This window comes from Homo sapiens, chromosome 2, assembly GCF_000001405.40.
Source record: "Homo sapiens chromosome 2, GRCh38.p14 Primary Assembly".
Lineage (NCBI taxonomy): Eukaryota > Metazoa > Chordata > Mammalia > Primates > Hominidae > Homo > Homo sapiens.
In genome coordinates, this window is record NC_000002.12 from 34020666 (window position 1) to 34040104 (window position 19439).

General features: G+C 38.8%; 1 long non-coding RNA gene across 1 annotated transcript in view; it reads left to right on the forward strand.

Annotated features, from left to right (window-relative positions):
- LINC01317 (long intergenic non-protein coding RNA 1317) overlaps nucleotides 1-19439 on the forward strand; it is a 590861-nt gene that overhangs the window by 313780 nt on the left and 257642 nt on the right. The gene's annotated exons all lie outside the window — the stretch shown is intronic.

The window sequence follows — 19439 nt, forward strand, 5'->3', positions numbered from 1 at the left end:
TATCTTTTGATATAAATCTTATTATATGTTACCCTAGCCCTTTAACAAAATGTATGTGGATGAAATGCCACAGAATTATAGAAAGTTGATGTAGAAAGGGACTTAGCAACAATAAAATACTAATGATGGGTAGCATTTTTTAATACTCCGTGTCATGGACTGTGCAGAGTGCTTAATACGCAGTGTCTCATTTAATGTGATCCAACTCACTCATTTTACAGATGGAAAAATCTGGCCATTTGGTTTATTGGTAGCTTTCACTTATAGTGTGGACTCTACTTCATCATAGTGCTTAAATATGAACGATTGAGTGTATAAACTGCATTTGTATGACAGCTTAAAAGTGGACAATGTAGCACAGTAGTTAGCAGCTCTAGTCTTTGGGTAATACAAATCTTGATTTGAATCCTGGCTCTGCTACTTACCAGCTGTGTAACATTGAGTCAGTTACTTAACCTCTATGAACCACTATTTCTCCATTGGTATCATGGAGATTATAATGCTACACTGGGTTGTGGTAAGAATGAAATAACATCTAGAATGTAAAATTAATACTACCAAGTGATTGTGCATAGATGATAGCTATTATTATAAAGTGATTTCATACCAATTAAACTTCATGTCATATCTTTACTGTTGTAACCCATATTTTATTTTAATATCTTATTTTACACATTTCACAGATGAGGAAATGAAGTCACAGAAGGAAGGGTCATTTCCTTAGTAATATTAGGCAAGAGCTAGGCCGGGCGCAGTGGCTCACGCCTCTAATCCCAGCACTTTGGAGGCCGACGCAGGCAGATCATGAGGTCAGAAGATAGAGACCATCCTGGCTAACACAGTGAAACCCCATCTCCACTAAAAATACAAAAAAATTAGCCGGGTGTGGTGGTGGGCGCCTGTAGTCCCAGCTACTCAGGAGGCTGAGGCAGGAGAATGGCGTGAACCTAAGAGGCAGAGCTGGCAGTGAGCCGAGATCGTGCCACTGCACTCCAGCCTGGGCCACATAGTGAGACTCCGTCTCAAAAAAAAAAAAAAAAAAATTAGGCAAGAGTTGAAACTCAAATTGAGATGATCAGGTTTCTCTATTTGCTGGAAACTTAGCTCTTTGCCTTAGGCTTTAACTCCTTGAGTACGGGAATTTTGCTTCTCCAGGGAAACCAGCACATTAGGTCTTTGATAGCTATGTGTTTATTTTTTAACAACAAGTTAACACGTAATTCAAAAGACATATGTCAAGTCACTTATCCCTTAAACCAAATCTTAAATGTAAAAGAGGTATCACAGGAGGGCAAGTGTAGCATGACATATCCAGGGATCTGGTAAAGGGCACCACAGCAGTTACTTGGACCTGTTCTGGAGGAGTTAATTATATAAGCCAATTATACATATATTAGTCTAAGGATCAATACATGTATATATGCCATACTTTTCCTCCATGCTTTCTGTCTGCCTGAGCACAGTTCCAGAATTTTATTCTCATAGGAAAATTGGGCTTAACTAATTAATTCACTTAATGGGTATTTATTGAGATCCTCACATGTGTCAGGCACTGTATTAGACCCTGAGTCTACAATAATGAGTGAAAGCTATTTCCTTATGAAATTCATAGGAGGGAAGAAAAATGAAATGTTGACTAGAAAAACATGATTGTGATAAGTACTATTGAGATTGAGATAAGCTTAAATTGCTCTTAGAACACGTAGTGGGGATACCTGATCAGGATTAGGAAGATCAGAGGAGACTTGTTGAAAGAAATGATAGTGAATTAAGTCCAAAGGAGTTAACCAGGCAGATAATAGAAAAGAGACGTATTAAGTGCTACATGCTCAAAGACATGGAAATTTGAATTATCAGAGACCATTCTGGAACCTATAGGTAATGCAATATAGCTGAAATTCACAGAGGGAGAGGGTCAGGGCAATGAATATAAGTGGTGAAGCAATCATGGGCAGATCTTGAAGACCTTATAATCCACAAGAAGGATATTGGACTAAAACCTATGAGAAACGTTGAAGGGTTTTAAGCAAGAGGATGGCATAGTTATGTTTACAAAGATGACTGATCATCTGTGAAGAATAAGACTCAAGGGTTAGTGCTGCTGGCAGAGGAAACTTCAAGAGGCTGGTGTCATAAACCAAGTAGAAATTGTAACAATGACTTTGTAATCAAAAACAAAGGATTGAAGATAAAGAAGAAGCTGCAGGTGATTCCTAGATATTTGACTTGGGTGACTAGGAAATGGTGGTATAATTCACTGAACTAAGAAATAAGGAGAAGCAGATTTTAATGGAAAATGTGATTCTGTTTTGGAGCTATTACATGTGAAGAACTTAAAGGGCTCTCGTATGGAGATTTCTAGCAGGCAGTTTTTCAGGTTGGAAGAGGAATCAAAGGTAGGGATGTAGATTTGGGAGTCATTGAGGTACAAATAATTAGTGAAGCCAAGGGAAAGGATAACTTAAGGAGAGCTTTCATGGGTGCATGTAGTGAGAAGAAGGGAGAGGAGAAAGAATGGATCAGGATTTTGGAGGGAAGCAATGGTGTCACTGAAATTAAAGTTGGAGAAAATGATGAGGTTAGGGAATAATTTATAGTCGCAAATGTTGTAGAGAGAGACGGAGCAGGAAAAATAAGGACTGAAAAGTGTTAATTGAATTTAACCACACATAGGTCACTAGTGACCATGGTAAGAACAGTTTCAAAGAAGAGCCAGAAACCAAGATGGTTATATGAAGGATAAAGTAATGGCAGCAAATGGAGACAATTCTTTTAAGAAGCCTGCATATGAAAAGGATAGAAAAGAGGGACAGAGCTTTGAAGGAGTTTTTTGGGGCTCTTTGTGTATTTGTTTGTGTTTGTGTGCACACGCATAGGTTTTAAAGATGAAAAAAAAACTTGTATATATTTATATTTGGAAGGTAAAGAACCGGTGGGTGGTGTGGAATTCATACTCAATTTTTCTACCCTTTGGGCGCATAGCAGATAAGATTTCACTTTCTCACACCCTTTGAAGTTAGAGCTATGTGACTTGGTATTGCTAGTGAAGTGTAAGCAGATGTGACATTGTCAGTTGGGGTGGAAACTAGAGCCAGTGTACAATTTTCTACCTTTCCCTTTCCTGTTTCCGTGTTCTAGAAACCATGTGTCAAGATAAATCTCCCACTAGCCTGAGTCCCTGAAAGAATGCAGTGAAATGAACACAGCTTCCCAGGTGACCTGAATTGAGTATGTAACATGAGCTAAAAGTCAGGAACTTATTTAATGCTGATTTCTCTTATCTCGCATTCTGCATTGCATCTCAGCTCTGTGTCTACCATTTCCTTTTTTTCTCTTCAGAACTATTCTGTGCAATGTACAACATTTCCTGTATGACCACCCCATTCATTTCAGGCCTTTGGACTCAAACCTGGATTTACATCATTGTACCCCTGTACCCCATCCTTTCCCTGGCCTTTGGACTTAGACTGAATGACAACCCTGGCTTTCTCGGGTCTCCAGCTCGCAGGTAGCAGATTGTAGAACTCTCAGTCTTCATAATTATATGAGCCTTTTCCTATGGTAAATGTCTCTGTCTCTCCTCTCCTTTCTTCTCATCTCCTATTGATCCTGTTTCTCTGGAGAGCCCTGACTAATACACTATTCACGTGGTCTTTCTAGATGTACAATATTTAGGTGATTAAGATAATTTCTTATTAAAACTTCATTTTACAGATAAGAAAATTAAGACCCAGAGTGGAGTGAAATGAAAACCCAGGTTTCTTTCTCTTCTCAGTCTTCTTTTTCCCATGCCCTGACTTCCAGTTTCTTTATGATGCCTGGTCACATATCTAGCTTTGATTCATGACTTACATTTGGCCCAGGGTAGAATCCCTGACTTTCTCATGACTTACTCTTTTCCTTTGAGCCTGGCCTTTACCTTACTTTACCTGCTCCAATTTTTAGCTATTTTCTTCCTCTGCTGTGCCCTGAGTTTAGTGTGACACTGGGGACTTGCCTATATCCAAAAGCTGTTATTTTAGAGCACGCACATTGTGAGGCCTTAAAACACAAAGAATCAGAAGGGCTGCTGAGCGAGGTCAGAAGTGTCTTGCACCTGCCCAGGGTTGAGCAGGTGGAATAGTGGCCAGTAAGGCCGCAAGGCTCAGGGGTGCACCAGACCCTGAGGCTTCCTGTGGAGAGTTACAACTTAAAAAAGCATTAGAGGCCCTGAGGCCAGCTCTGTGTTCTTAAAGTACTCCAGGGATGCTTTTAGTATTTTAGAAGAAAGAGAGCTTTCTAGAAGGGAATAAGTTTGCCACTCAGAGATGGAAGCAATTCTCTAAACCAAACCTTGAGAAAAATTCTGATGATTTATAAGCTTAATACTAGCTTCTGTCTATCAGCAAAATTTTGAAAAGCTAGATGAGACTTTACTAGTTTAGGGAATACGTACAATGACTATTTTTGGTTAAATTTAAAAAAGCTATACATTATTATTATTCATTGAAAAGTATTTGAAGAATAGTTGTGAGTTGTACAAGACTAACATTTCAAAGCAAGAGGGACCAAGTAATTTGAATATTCAAAACTGACCTTATTTTATCCCTGGGTTGCCTTTAGTACCCATTTTCCAAAATGCAAAGCAGCAACTTCCCTAAAAAGCATTCATCTCTGTCAGATTTGTTTATCAGATTAGCTAGCAGAGAGCTAGTTTGGCCTACTTCCTGCTGCTCAGGGCTGCCTGGAGGCAAAACTGAGACTGGGAGAAGACTAGATGGGCTTGATTAAAGGTAGAGTTTATTGAAGTTTCTTTGGTTGGGAAGGAGGAAAGGAAGCCTTCTCTAAAAGAAAAAAGGCAGTGGGCCCTGAACTAACTTGACCCAGGGCCTGAACTAACTTGACCAGTTTGGGCGATTCAATTAAAATAAATATTCAAATGCATCAAACAGGTTTTAAATAATTAGGAAATATATGCAAAATAGTTTAAAATTTGTGTTTGTTGTGGTTATCTGAAACAACTGATCTCGAAGCCTAATTCTATCAAAATAACAAAATGTAATTCATAGCATTAGGAATAGAACTCATCTATCCGCATGTGTTGGTGTCCTTTGTCCTTCTGGCGGTTACCATTTCTTGTTTACATTGAGGTGGTTGGTCGTGGTGAGGAGGGAGGAAGCATCAACTTGCAATTGCAAAATGTATACTGGAATTCCAAAAAGCCACGCCTATTAAATTCTCTCCATCTTCTCTCCCTATTCAATAACTTTTTATCTTAATTTCGTGGGTCAGATATTAGGATGAGCCAGAATTGCAGGTTCTGCCAAGAAGGAAATGGCTAAGAGAAAAATATTTTTTACTGCTTAATATTTATTGAATCCATCTATATCTAATTACAATATTGTGTTTCATCTCCTACAAGATTGCTTTTGTGCATGGAGTGAGATGACCTGTAACGTATGCTACCATTATTATCAGGGCCTCCTTATAGTTATCATTGTTGATTTAAAATCTTAGCCAACCACAGTGTGCAGAAATCTGAAGCAAAATTAGCATCCTGTGACTGTACATTTCTACTCGATTAAAAAAGGTCCTTATGAAACCCAGTATAATTCCTTCCTGCACATACCTTCATTTGCTGCTAAATGGGCTGATACACACAAAAATACAATATAGAACATTTTGAATGGTGGGAGTGTGAACTTTTTTAGCATGTATTTTTTTGCATATGTTTGTGCACATAATATATTCAAAACTACTACTCTATTCATTAAGCAGATTTTTACTGCTAAATTAGGAAGGAAGAGTGGGAAGGATAGTGCACGTACTGCATGTAGTGGGCACTCAGTATAGGTTTGCTGAGTTGAATCAGATCCTCTGTATGCCTGAGACAGTGTTGGAGTGATGGTGAGACAACAGAGGCTATGCGTTCCTTGGGAGAAGTCTCAGAGGTTGGTTGACTCCTCAGTTCTCACATTCCCAGTCTTTAACAATGGGGGTACTTTTGTTCTTCTTAAGTTGTCTAAGTCCTTATTTATTTTTTGATAGAGACAGTCTCACTGTGTTGCCCAGGTGGGTCTTGAACTCTTGGGCTCAAGTGATCCTCCCGCTTCAGCCTCTCAAAGTGCTGAAATTACAGACATGAGCCATGGTCCCTGGCCTAAGTCTTTAATTTTGTTCCTTCTTGTCTGTTGACTTGAGAAGGCCACCTGCAAAGGGAGGGTGAACCATGAATTGGTACAGAGAGAAATTTCTCAAAAAGAAAAGTTAGGGAAGAGAAGAAAAGGGACTAAATAAGATACATATTTTTCTTTAATTTAACTCACAAACACAGAGAAAAATTTAGCTGGAAAGGTTTTCTTTTTTAACTCAAAAATTTGAGCTTTCTAAACCAATAAAAACACATAGCAAATTCTTTTTTGTCTTCCTTTATGGAAAACTACCTGAATCCTTATAAAGGAGACATAATGACTGAAAATGAATTTTTTATTTTGGAAAAATACACTAACTGTATGTATCTGATGATGTGTAACCCACTCATTTATTGAAATAAAAATGGTAAAAAGTAATGTCATGCTTATATCTTTTGCTTGACCTTTTAACTTCTGTTTTCCTATTTTTGTGCGACTGATTTCTTTGAGACCAGAAGACATTCATTTTAGTCCTTACACACACACACACATACACACACACACACTCTTTCATTATTATCTGAAAGGTAAGTTATTTTTTGTGTGAAATGATTGGAATCCAGGAAGGCTAATCTAGTCATTCTGTACCTTCTAGAATAAATTAAAGAAATTGAAATTGAGCTTTCTAAGTGAAAGGTCAAAGTGATCCAGTATTACTTTTGCATCCATTAAAGTACCAAAAAAAAAAGACCCAATATTACTTTTAGAGATAATGTCAATGATATCTTACATGAAAAATATTGCCCTAGCCGCTTGTGTGTTGTGATTCCATGGTGAAAGATATTGCAGAATCAGTAGTATTGTATTCGCTCAGAAGTTTGTATTTTGTTAATCTATCACCTAAAATGTGATGGAACCCAAATTTAAATTTCTAGTCCTAACATTTTCCTAAGTTCAAGAGAGTTACTTTCAAATGCCAACTGTACATTTCTAACTGCTATAGGTAGACTTTTAGGATGGCCCCATGACTTTTGCCCTGGGTGTTGCTCTGGTGATATATTCAATTACATGGCAAAGATTAGTCATCAGTTGGCTTTAAGATAGGGATATTATCTGGGTGGGCCTAATCAAATCATGTGAGTACTTTAAAAACAGAAAGTTTTCTCTAGTTGGTAGCAGATAGGAAAATCAGATAAATTCAAAGCATGGGGAAGATCTGATGCTCTGTTGCTGAATTGAAGATGGAGAAACCCAAGAAGCAGGAACCTAAGAGTGACAACCTGGATGAACTTGGATGTGGATTCTTCCTTCTGGCCTCAGATAAGAAAAAGCCCAGCCTTGACAGACACTTTGATTTTTCTCAGCAGAAAACCCAGTTAATCCTGCCTGGACTTCTGATCTACAGAACTGTTGCTCTCTGCCCCAGGTCAGGGAATGGCTGTGGGTGTGGCAGGGCTCAATTCAGCCCCTGGGCCCACCAAACCTTGGATGGAGCAAGGCAGTACTTATCCATCTAGACGTGGAACATCACAGCACATTTAAGTGACTCAGCAGAGTCTTCTTGCCAACCCCTGATCCAGGTAGTGAGAGAGTATCCTGGCATGGAGGTGCCAACACCTTGGGGGTCTCCTATCCAGCATTTTTTGTGGCAGTGGGCCATAGAAAGAAGATATTAACTATGTTCATAATTTTTTGCTAAACAGGCTTCCTTCTATTCAACTACTTTTACAACTGAAATTCAAATCAATCTTTTGGTATACAGTACCAGTCACCAAGAAAAAAGTGTCAGTCATCATTTGTGTATCCATAAATCACTACTGTTTGCCTATAATTCATTTTTGTCACGTAGTCTTCATGACCTTTGCATTTGGGTACTCAACTATCCTTTCATGGATTGTATTGTGTTGTGTTTGAGTAGGTTTCAACTCAGTAATTCCTGGATTGGCTCTATGTTCAGTGCCCATCCTTGTGTTCCGTCATGTGGTCATGAAAGGAAACAAAGGGATTGTGCAAGGGTCTTGGAGCTTCAGTTTGCATTGAGAAGCAAGATGACATGTAGCATAAAAGAGTAGGTAATATCGGCCGGGCATGGTGGCTCATGCCTGTAATCCCAGCACTTTGGAAGGCTGAGGCAGGCGGATCACCTAAGGTCAGGAGTTCAAGACCAGCCTGACCAACATGGAGAAACCTTGTCTCTACTAAAAATAAAAAATTAGCTGGGTGTGGTGGCACATGCCTGTAATCCCAACTACTTGGGAGGCTGAGGCAGGAGAATCGCTTCAACCTGGGAGGTGGAGGTTGCAGTGAGCCGAGATCTCACCATTGCACTCCAGCCTGGGTAACAAGAGTGAAACTCCATTTCCAAAAAAAAAAAAAAAAAAGTAGGTAATATCTGCAAATATGTATTCTGTAGTAAGAAGGCTTGAAAAACAACTAACCTCATGGGTGGGGTACTTGAGTATACCTCCATCTCCACCATGAATATGCTGTGTTGGCTTTTTTGGAGCCAGCTTCCTGGAGTCTCAGTTTTTCCATCTGTAAAATGTTTGTTCTGAATAGGTCAGTAGGTATGGGAATGGAAATAAGGTCATCCCTCAAGAGCTCCATCCATATACCCTCATACTTCTCATGGAAATACCTTAGAATGGAAATCGGAGCTTTTAAATCAACAAGCAAATACGGAAGGCCTAATTATGTGATACGCAGAGAACAGCCAATTTAAGGATGCCCTCCCCTCTTTGGGGGTAATTTAACGATCCCACAGCTATATATTTGATTGTGCTTTCACACTTGATAGCAGATTAAATATTTTTGAACTGGAGAAGTATAAGACTTACGTGTTTGCGCTTAACAGTAGTGCAAACTCCATTAAGTTACCCTAAGCATTGGATTTTCTTAAAAAAAAAAAAATCCAGAGATGGTTTTGGCTAGATAATCTTACTTTACCAGCTCATCCTTAGATAATCATAGTTTGACAATTATCTATACACCAAGACTTGTTTATCAATATTGTACAGTCTGGGATTATACTATAGTAGTCCTGACAGTATCATTGCCTTATATAAAAATTTCTGTCTTATTTATGGAGAATAAATAATAAACAGGCCAGTTTCTGCATCTGACCAATTAGTGAGTTTGGAAGTAGAATTTTTAGGACAATTATACAGAATTTCAAAGGCAGGGCATTTTAACAGGGCAGTGGCCCTTTGAACAGTCATGCGGTTGCGTTCATTGCAAGGGCATCTACATTGAGGAGGCAAGGACACATGTCCCCAGCCTTTATACAAATGTGTTCTTTTTCTCTTCTTTCTCTTTTCATTTAACATGACATTTCTGCCTTGATTCCTTCTGACCTGAATTTTGAACTCTTGCCCACAAAAAAGATGTAAAGTCTTCAAAACACACAAAAAACCACTGCATTAGGCTACTTCATATTGCACCCAGTTTTAGACTTGATTTGCAGAAGGTTGTTCCTTTAAAATCCTTTTTGTCCTTTTTGAAATTAATATACTGCAACACCTGTTAATATGGCTGGACCATTCACAGTTCTAATTTGAATCATTTAGCTGTTTAAAAAATGATAGGGAGTAGCTTTCATCCCTTTGGTGGTATGCTGAGATTAAATGCTGACTTTCTCAAGCCTTAGCAGGCAGTCTAAGTGAGGACACTTCAGAAGAGATGCTGAACAGACCTGAGAAGCCGCAAACATCTATGACACTCTCAAGGTGAAATTCAGCAGGCTTCTGCTGTTATAGTTTCTAAAAGTGAATACAGGATTTGGCATTGCTGAGACTTACCTCTACCCAAAGAACTCAAAGATTTGAGGGAGAGGAGAAGGCAGAGAGTTGGAACAGATGCCAAGGCAGCTGGAGACAGACCCTGAAATACATAATTGTAATCAGTTTAGTTAATAAACATGGGGTGCTTCCATGCACCATGTTTTTAAAGAAGTAATAGACTTTTTATTGCTACTAAGCCTGAAATAAACAAGTGATTTGATCATTTTGTCTAGATTGATTGGTAATGAATCAATTAGCAACCATTAAATTCAGTCAATAGCCTAGTTACTAATTGGTTTACAAATCTACCACTCCAGTAAAATGGGTCAAATGTCTACATAAAGGCTTGGAAACTCAGTGTCCTAGAGAAAAGAGTATTTAAACACGTATTTATCATAGGCTTAAGTCAAGTGTATGAAATCTTTTATATCTTGATCCATATTGGGACAAATTGATTGAGTAACTGAAGGCCAGTTTTTGCAGAAAAGACTACCTGAAAAGGAAGAATTGTTATGTCTAGCCAAAAGGAAATGCCATGTTCCTACAATTCTCCAGCCTATAATAATATAAGCACTTTTAAAGTTCTGATTTACACTTTTTTTTTTCCCAAATACAATGTACCAAGCCTTGCAGTTTACTTCTGGGTATGTGAAGAATGGTCTCTGTAACAGCCCATGGTTGGTACCTAATGCAGTGCCACAAACTGCCTGGAGGCCATGACCAGAGATCTAAATATAGGTTGGAAATTTGGCTGGGAAATTCCTCTGCAGCCCAGGAATGAGACATGAGGCCTAGAGCATAAACACAGCAGCTTATACATCTTTTCAGCAGCCTCTAGGCTATGATTGTTAAGTAGCCAGCACAAAAGAGGCTATCTTCTCCCCTCGTTAAATTTAACAAATACTGAAACATTCAGGATAAAAACACAAGCCCAGGTGCTTTTGGTTATGCCAGCAAACATATTTTAAAAGTGGACTATTAAAAGCTTCCAATTAAATTCAAGTCAACTTTAAAGAATGCTACAGGAACAAACAAATCTTGCTATTTCAGTGGCTTAACATATAAAAATGTATTCCTTGTTCAAGCAAAATCTTCTGCAGGCTCAGTGGTTCTTACCTTTACCTCCCTTCCAAGTGGTAATTCAGGGCTCCCGATTGCTTCTGTCTTGTAGCCCCTCCACTTTTCCACACAGGAGTCCTGGGTTGCTGCAGCTGAAAAAGAGAATTTAGAGGGTTGTTTGTAGACTTCTCACTGTTTCAGCTCTCAGGTGACAGATATCATGTCCCAGCCATGGATGAAGCTGGAAACCATCATTCTCAGCAAACTATTGCAAGGACAAAAAACCAAACACTGCATGTTCTCACTCATAAGTGGGAATTGAACAATGAGAACACTTGGTCACAGGAAGGGGAACATCACACACTGGGGCCTGTTGTGGGGTGGGGGAAGCGGGGAGGGATAGCATTAGGAGATATACCTAACGTAAATGACGAGTTAATGGGTGCAGCACACCAACATGGCACATATATACATATGTAACAAACCTGCACATTGTATACATGTACCCTAGAACTTAAAGTATAATAAAAATATATATATAAAAAAAATCATGTCCCAGCATAGTTTACTGGCCTGAACTAATCACTTGGCCCACCTAACTGCAAGGTCTCTGAGAAGGGGGATCTGTCTTAGGTCTCAGATACTCAGCAAATCCAGCTATCAGTGTTTCAAATCCACCTACAATGTGCTGCTTGTTTTACTAGGTGGTGAGGGTAACAAAGATGAATGTGATAGAGTTTTTCCATATAAGAAACTTACAATCCATTGGCTCAAGATCAGTCATTCAAAAATGTGAATATTACAGTATAAATAATGGCCTTCAAAATTCAAAGCTTAATGCCAAATTCGACATTTATTGAGACTTTAAATTGTACATTGGCTACCTGTATAACTTTGGCTTCCTGTAATTTAGTGGTATTGGAAATGTAAAATTTAAATAACCCTATTTGTTAGTATGAACTGCTTCTAATTATAAGGAAGAAGTAAGTCAACATATAGAAGAATTGTGCAGGATTTGAGACCAAAATTCAGAACTGTTCCTAAGGGAGGGTGGGCAGATGGGGATCCCCAAGAAGAAATGATAACTCCTTAGAATTAGAGAACTTTCACCAACTGGAAAGAGGCCAATTATCATCTCACTTTGTCAGCTGAATACATTATAAAAAGGAAAGACCTTTGCCCCTTTTGAGTTACGTGGTGTTCAGAATTCCAAGTCCCTCAGGAACTGTTTTCTTTCTTACCATTTTTAGAGTTGTTTTTTTCTAGAATGTAAGAGCAAAATGTGATCATTGAAGAACATTTAGGAAGTACAAGAAAGGTTTTAAAAAAAGAAATCACTCTTAATGCCTTTACTCAAAGACAACTTCCATTAACATCTTGGTATACTTTATTTTGAACGTTTTATATACATTTTATTTTATGTAATTAAAACCAAGTCTTACAATTTTATATTTACTTTGTTTATACAGATATCACCTCATTCTTAAGTTTCATAAGCATATTTTTAAAAATGTGGGAAAACAGTTTATGAAAATTCCAAATGTTACTTAGCTATTCCCTAATACTAGTCACATAGGTTGGTTCTAAGCTTAAGCTATTTAAATAACACTATGATGAAATTAGCAATTAGTAGATAAGGCATTGAAAGGATGCAATAGCCTTCCTCATGTAGACTTCAGTCCTTTTTGTTGACACAAGTGTTTCATAGAACATCCTCCAAAAGATAAAACTTAATACTGTATTAGCTTCAAGGGACCATGAGGAAATGAGACAATACATTCACCTCCCCCATGTTATAAGGCTTCTTAAAAGAGTAGATTTTGATTTAATTTGGAAAAAGATGTCAAGGATGAAAGCACAACCTTGTGTGAAAAGCAAGTGTATTAGTTATCCTTGGCCATAATATGGCTAAATGAAAACCAACTGAAAAATCACAGCAGCATAAAAAATAAACATTTATCTAGCTTATTCATCTGCAGATTGGCCAGACTCATCTGCCCTAGGACGGGCTTCCCCAGGCAGTTCTGCCTCAGGTTGCAGGAGGTGAGAGGCTCTGCTTCTCACTTCAGGTGTGGCAGTTGGCTGAGGCAACTCTGAAGTGTCATGCATCCTCCTCAGACCAGCAAGAAATTGAGACATGAACTTCTCATATCCATGGCAGAGCCATTTCAGTCTCTTAAGTCTTGTCAAGCCTTTTGTCATGTCTTGTCTGCTGACATTTCACTGGTCAAAATAAAACAGATAGCTAAGCCTGAAGTCAAGACAGAGAGAAGTAAACTCGGGCTGTGGAGGTGCTAGAGAGAAAGAGTGGATATCTCCTAAGAATCGACCACAGCAGACAGAAAAATCACAGTGTCCTATGATGCTTCGTCTTTATTAAAGAACCTCAACGTTGTAGAAATAGGTAAAGGACCTCTTGAGGTCTGGGATAGTTAATTTTACATGTTAACTTGACTGGGTTAAGGGACACCCAGATAATTGGTTAAACAATATTTCTGGTGTATCTGAGGATGTTTCTGGAAGAGATTACCATTGGAAACGTTAGACTGAGTAGAGAAGATCTGCCCTTACCAATGTGCATAAGCATCATCCTATCCATTGAGGGCCTGTATAGAACATAAAGGAAGAAGAAGGATGATTTTCTTTCTCTTTACTTGAGATGGAACATTCATCTTCTCCTGCCCTTGGATATTGGAGCTCCTGGTTTCTGGGCCTTTGAACTGGACTTATACCAGTGTCCAACTTCCCCATCCCCTGGTTTGCAGGCCTTTGGCTTCTGAGTGGATGCTATACCATCAGGTCTGCTGGTTCTCAGGCCTTCAGACTTAGACTGAATTATACTACCAAACTTTTCTGGTTCTTCAGCTTGCACACAGCATATCATGGGACTTCTAGGCTTCTGTAATTGTGTGAGCCAATTCCTATATTAATCTCCTCCTCCTCCTCTCTCTCTGTTTCTCTGGAGAACCCTAATACAAAGTCTCCTTGTTTTTTTCTTTTTCATACATGCACCTAATTATGAACAGGATGCTTCTGTGGACAGCCTAGACAACCTATGAGCAAATTGAGATAATGGGGCCCTGACTTGAACACGAAATCCCTTAAACTAACAACATTGTGTTGGACACAACCTCCTCATTCTCTGTTCTTTAAGGAATTAGCCTTCATAGAAGAATCTGTTTCATTTGACAACCCAGTGTCAGGCAACACTCACCTTATTTTTTCTCTAGGGCAGGGATTCGCAATCTAGCTGTGCATTAGAGTCAGCCAGGGAGCTTTTTAAAACTGCATGATGCCCTAGTCCTACACAAACCAATTAACTCATAATCTGTGGGATTGGAGGCCCTCGCATAGATATATTTTAGGTGCCCAATGATACCACTGTGTATTCAGCATTGAGAACCACTGCTCTGGCACAGTCATTTTTTCCTTTTCTCTTCTTTCAATCTACTTTCTGTTTTCCAAGACCCCACATTTGATTCATAGTCATATTTAATTCCACTCTTATCTGTCATGGAATACTAAAAACCTGCACAACCAGTTGAATTTTTATCAAAATTTCTCAGAAGAGCTAACTTAGCCAACCTATATATTCTTCTACATTAAGAAATTGATTACCTGTGCTGTATCTTACCCAGTATAGACTCAGTCTTGGCTGCACTTTGGAATTACTTGGGGAGCTTAAAACCAAAACCAGAACCCAGAGAGAACACTTGCCTAGCAGCAAACCCCTGAGACTCTGGTTGAACTATTATGGGGTGCAGCCCTAGCCAGTGCTATTGTTTTTAAAGCCCCTTGGATAATTATAATATGTAGTCAGTTTTGAGAACCACTGAGCCCCAGTAGGGCTAGGAAATCGGCCATGAAAACATAACCCTAAGGCACAACCAATGAGTGACTGTATCTTCCCTGGTCCTGAGGATTCTTTGAATAGTGAGAAGTATTTCTTTGGATGTGGCAGAATGGAAAATTGAATACAAGTAATGACAGTGATACAAGTAGTTTGCTTGGCTGTGCCAAAGGCTGTGCATGTGGGAGTGATGGGAAATAGACTTGTCAGGGACAGATGTGGACACAAGGGATCATGTAGTAAAATCTCAAATACAAGGCCAAGGGGTAGAAACATAACTTACTAGACAACGAGAAGCTCTCATAAGTCCCCAAGCAATACAAAGCTCAGACATCAAGTGTTTCTTAAATTGTCTTCTGCTTTGAAATCACAATGTTTAATTCTATTTTGACTATTTGTGTGGGTGAACCTTTCCATTCTTGCTTCTGCATATATGTTGCATATTTGATATATTGAATAAGCGTGCCACTTGAAATAGAATCATTAATTTTTCTTCTGTCCCTTTAAAAATATTCATTGGAACTAGTTCCCTTGCCTCTGGGCAAGAATCTGGGTGGTCTATAACTTCTCTAGCAAGTTCCCCATAATTGGCATATCAAAAGCTGGCTTTTCCCTCTGGCCATAGCAGGTGTTTAAGGCTGACTCTTCTCATGAGACATTCAAGTGTTCTTTGGAGGAAAACCTCGCTCATACCTCCAAATTTTGAGGGATCTCTAACTTGTAGCTCCATTGATAATAGAAAATATTTATCTATTCTGTCTGGCAACTTAGTCTTTCCACAGCCACTAGAAATAAGGTATTGCCCACAACTGTCCTCTTCTCAAGTCTGTTCTTCCTTTGGATAGGTCTAATAGCACTCTCTTTCTCCTGCCTAACCCACATCTGGTCCATGGGAAATGCTTATGCATCTTTTGTGCCAAAGATGCCAATAAACTCTGGGAGTACTGTCTGAACCCAACTCAGTCACCATTCCTTTGACTTGTCAGTAGTGGCTAGTCACCTTGTCTCTGGACCATTAAGTTTGCAGGAGGTAGTTAGATACCAGGCTCCAAAGGTCTTGTTACTAGGAGGGACAAGCTCTTGGAGTGGTCTGTTGAATCCTCTTTTACCTGTATGAAGCGAGGGCTAGCATTTCCCTACTCTGACTTGGAATTGGGAGTTAGACTCATTGCACATTAAAGAGTTTCTCCAAAAATGCCTCTCCAGAGCTGATGAATTTAAAAAATATATTAATTACCGTTAATTACATAAGTCATTGATGCTACTTAACCTGAACAGTTTTACCTATAGTTATCCAGGCAAGGAGTGGCTAGATTGCAAACCATACCTGTGTTTTTAATGATCAATTTGGGACTCATATTTAAAACTACCAATTGTTTTCTCTGTCCTTGGCATATTAATGCAAAATCCTCATACTTATGGCTCATTACTCCCTTTGGCAGTCTTATGGGCCTCTTATTTCACCTCCGATTCTTCTCTAGTAAATGACTGCCTGCTTCCCCCCAAGAGGACCCCAAAGCAAATTTTAGGTATGCCACATAGCCTATATTTAAAACCATGTTGCTCAAAACACACTCTCCAAATTTGATAAAAATCTGTCAGGCTGATTTTGCTTGATGTAGTAACAGAGACATGTAAAAACATATACAAACATTTTTGTTTAGCTATACATAGATGCAGTTAAAAAGAAATAAATACTAGGCAGTAAATTCAACTGGCTAAGGAAAAGAGTATTTTGATGGTGTTGTTAGAATAGATGGGAATTTGAGTGGCATTGTTTCTCAGGCCTGCTGGAGGCTGGGGGATAGTAAATTTTCTCAAATACCATTTAAGTCTTTGTGCCCTTGCTATTTGTCTTGCCAGGGCTATCATAGGTCTTGATGGATTTGGTATGTGCAGTCATGCTTGGCTGATGGTTTCACCTCTCTAATTGTCCCACTAGGAATTCCGTTATGGGGCCATCCATTGAACTCTGCTGTTTGCTAGAGCCTGTTGCGTTGCCGTGTTCCCTGTGGCTTTAGTCTGGTAAACAGTTCTCCCTGTTTATTTTTCTCTATAGATGTGAGCTAGAATAAAATACTTAATTTTGACCTTCTCAAATTTCTAAATATAATTGCATCTTATTATGCATCTTTGCTACACTGGAGATATTGCTGCACACAGCTAATCCTTTCAGAAGAGAGAAATAAGTTCTTTGACTTCTTGGAAGGTATACATTCATCTTCATTTTTGCTCTTGTAGCTGTCATCTGAAAATAAATGATAAATGAGCTCCCTCTGCATTTTACTGGAGAACTTAGCTCCTCCCAACACAAATGCCTGGGAGTTTGAATTTTCATTTTATTTATTTATTTATTTATTTTTATTTTAAAAATACTTAATCACCAGCAGATTTGGGAGCTCACCAAGAGGTCCCAGAGTTTGTTATGCATAAGTAACAGCTTATAAACAAGCTGTGATTTCTAAAATTAAGATGGCTTGTCTAGTGATGTTGAGGGCTGTCTTACATTTAGTGACTGTGTTGGGGGAGATCAGAGGGGAGTTAGCTTAACATTTACCTTTTGTAAATACCTTTTGTCACTCACTCCTCCATCATTTGGACTCCTTAGAAGGACCTCTTGCTCTTGGTGGCAAATATTTATTCTTTACAAAGAGGTTGTCAGGGAATGAGGAATGCTCAATCCTTACTGAAGTCCTGGCTTCTGAATATTTTCTGATAACAAATGGTTTGAAGTTTTTGTACTTAATGCAGAGAAGTGTTGCTTAACTCTAAATTTTTTAAATTAAGTGTTCTTAAAGAAAAAGGTACAAACCATACGATTGTTTAGTATATTGCAAGCAAGATATTTCTTTCTTTTTTTTTTTTTTTTTTGAGACAGAGTCTTGCTCTGTCGCCAGGCTGAAGTGCAGTGGCGCGATCTCGGCTCACTGCAACCTCCACCTCCCGTGTTCAAGCGATTCTCCTGCCTCAGCCTCCCGAGTAGCTGGGACTACAGGCGCGTGCCACCATGCCCAGCTAATTTTTGTATTTTTAATAGAGATGGGTTTTCACCATGTTGGCCGGGATGGTCTCGATCTCTTGACATTGTGATTCAGACACTTTGGCCTCCAAAAGTGCTGGGATTACAGGTGTGAGCCACAACACCTGGCCAAGATACTTCTTTGATATCTTTATTTTTGAAAGTCCTATAACGTTGACATTCAAATCTGTGTTATATTTGTAACATTTATCTATGTTTAATGTAAACAATTTACAGTTAAAATTAAATATTTTTTCTCATAGTCAATATTTGAGTAAAATTAATATGTAATTATTCTTGCTGTAGGTAGAAATTAAATGTAGTCTGTTTTTTTGATTCCTCCCATTTTACTCTTTCCTGGGTAATTATTCTCCTCTTGGCTTTCCTTTCAGTGCATGTTCTATGTGGTGAAGGGTATTGTCTCTCTCCTCCACTGCAGTAAGCTTCAAGCTGTACTTTCCCATGCTATGACTCTATATGTCCCTCAAGTTAGCCCTCTTTAAATTAGGAGCTGCCTAATTTATTGCATGTATAACTGCTGCCCCTGGCCAATGTAAAATTCTGCAGTAAAGGACAATAACCTGCATGGTCATCATTTGTTTATTTATTTTTTTTTAATACAACCTCCTTCCCCCTCCTTCTTCCCTCTCTTCCAGTGCATTTTAAGTTCACTTCGAAGGCTATTTGCTACAAATCCCTTTCAACAATTTTATCTTATTCCCCACCTACTTCTTCTAGAAATACGTTGTTCATTTCTTAAAGATCTGCATATTTTTCTCAGATAAAGTATTCAAATCACAGCAAATGTATCCCTGGGTTCCTTTCTGAGTGAACTATTAATGCTCCTAATAGAGCTACGCATGTGTGTGCACACAGTGGATAGCAGTCAAAATATTACTGTCACTAATAATTCTCATAATTGGGGATTCCACAGGTGATGTGTCAGTTCTCCTTTTGCTAAGCAGTCCTTCATGGTTCTTCCCCAACACCCATTTTTTTGTGTGTTTGTTGTACTCGCTTGGAATCTCTTTAAAAAAGCAAAGATGGGCCAGGCACGGTGGCTCACACCTGTTATCCCAACACTTTGGGAGGCCGAGGCCGACAGATCATGAGGTCAGGTGTTCGAGACCAGCCTGATCAACATGGTGAAGCCCCGTCTGTACTAAAAATACAAAAATTAGCCAGGTGTGGTGGCGTGTGCCTGTAGTCCCAGCTACTCGGGAGGCTGAGGTGGGAGAATTGCTTGAACCTGAAAAGCGGAGGTTGCAGTGAGCCAAGACTGTGCCATTGCACTCCAGCCTGGGCAACAGAACAAAAAACAAACAAACAAACAAACAAAAAAGAAAAAGAAAAGAAAAAGCAAAGATGATGCCAAGACGCCAATAGGAACAGGGCCCTTTTTTCTTCCTGGGTATTCTACTTCCTCTCTTATCTTTTATTCTTCCTATTTCTGGACTACACATATCTTCTAATAGTTCTCTGTTAAAAATCAACAGTAACACATTAATATTTGTGAAGGTGGTATGCAAAAGAAAATTTAATTGCATTATTTATACTTGGAAACTGAGAACAGAAATGGGTTAAATTGTTCTAGATGAGAAACCAGGGTTTGAACTTACTGC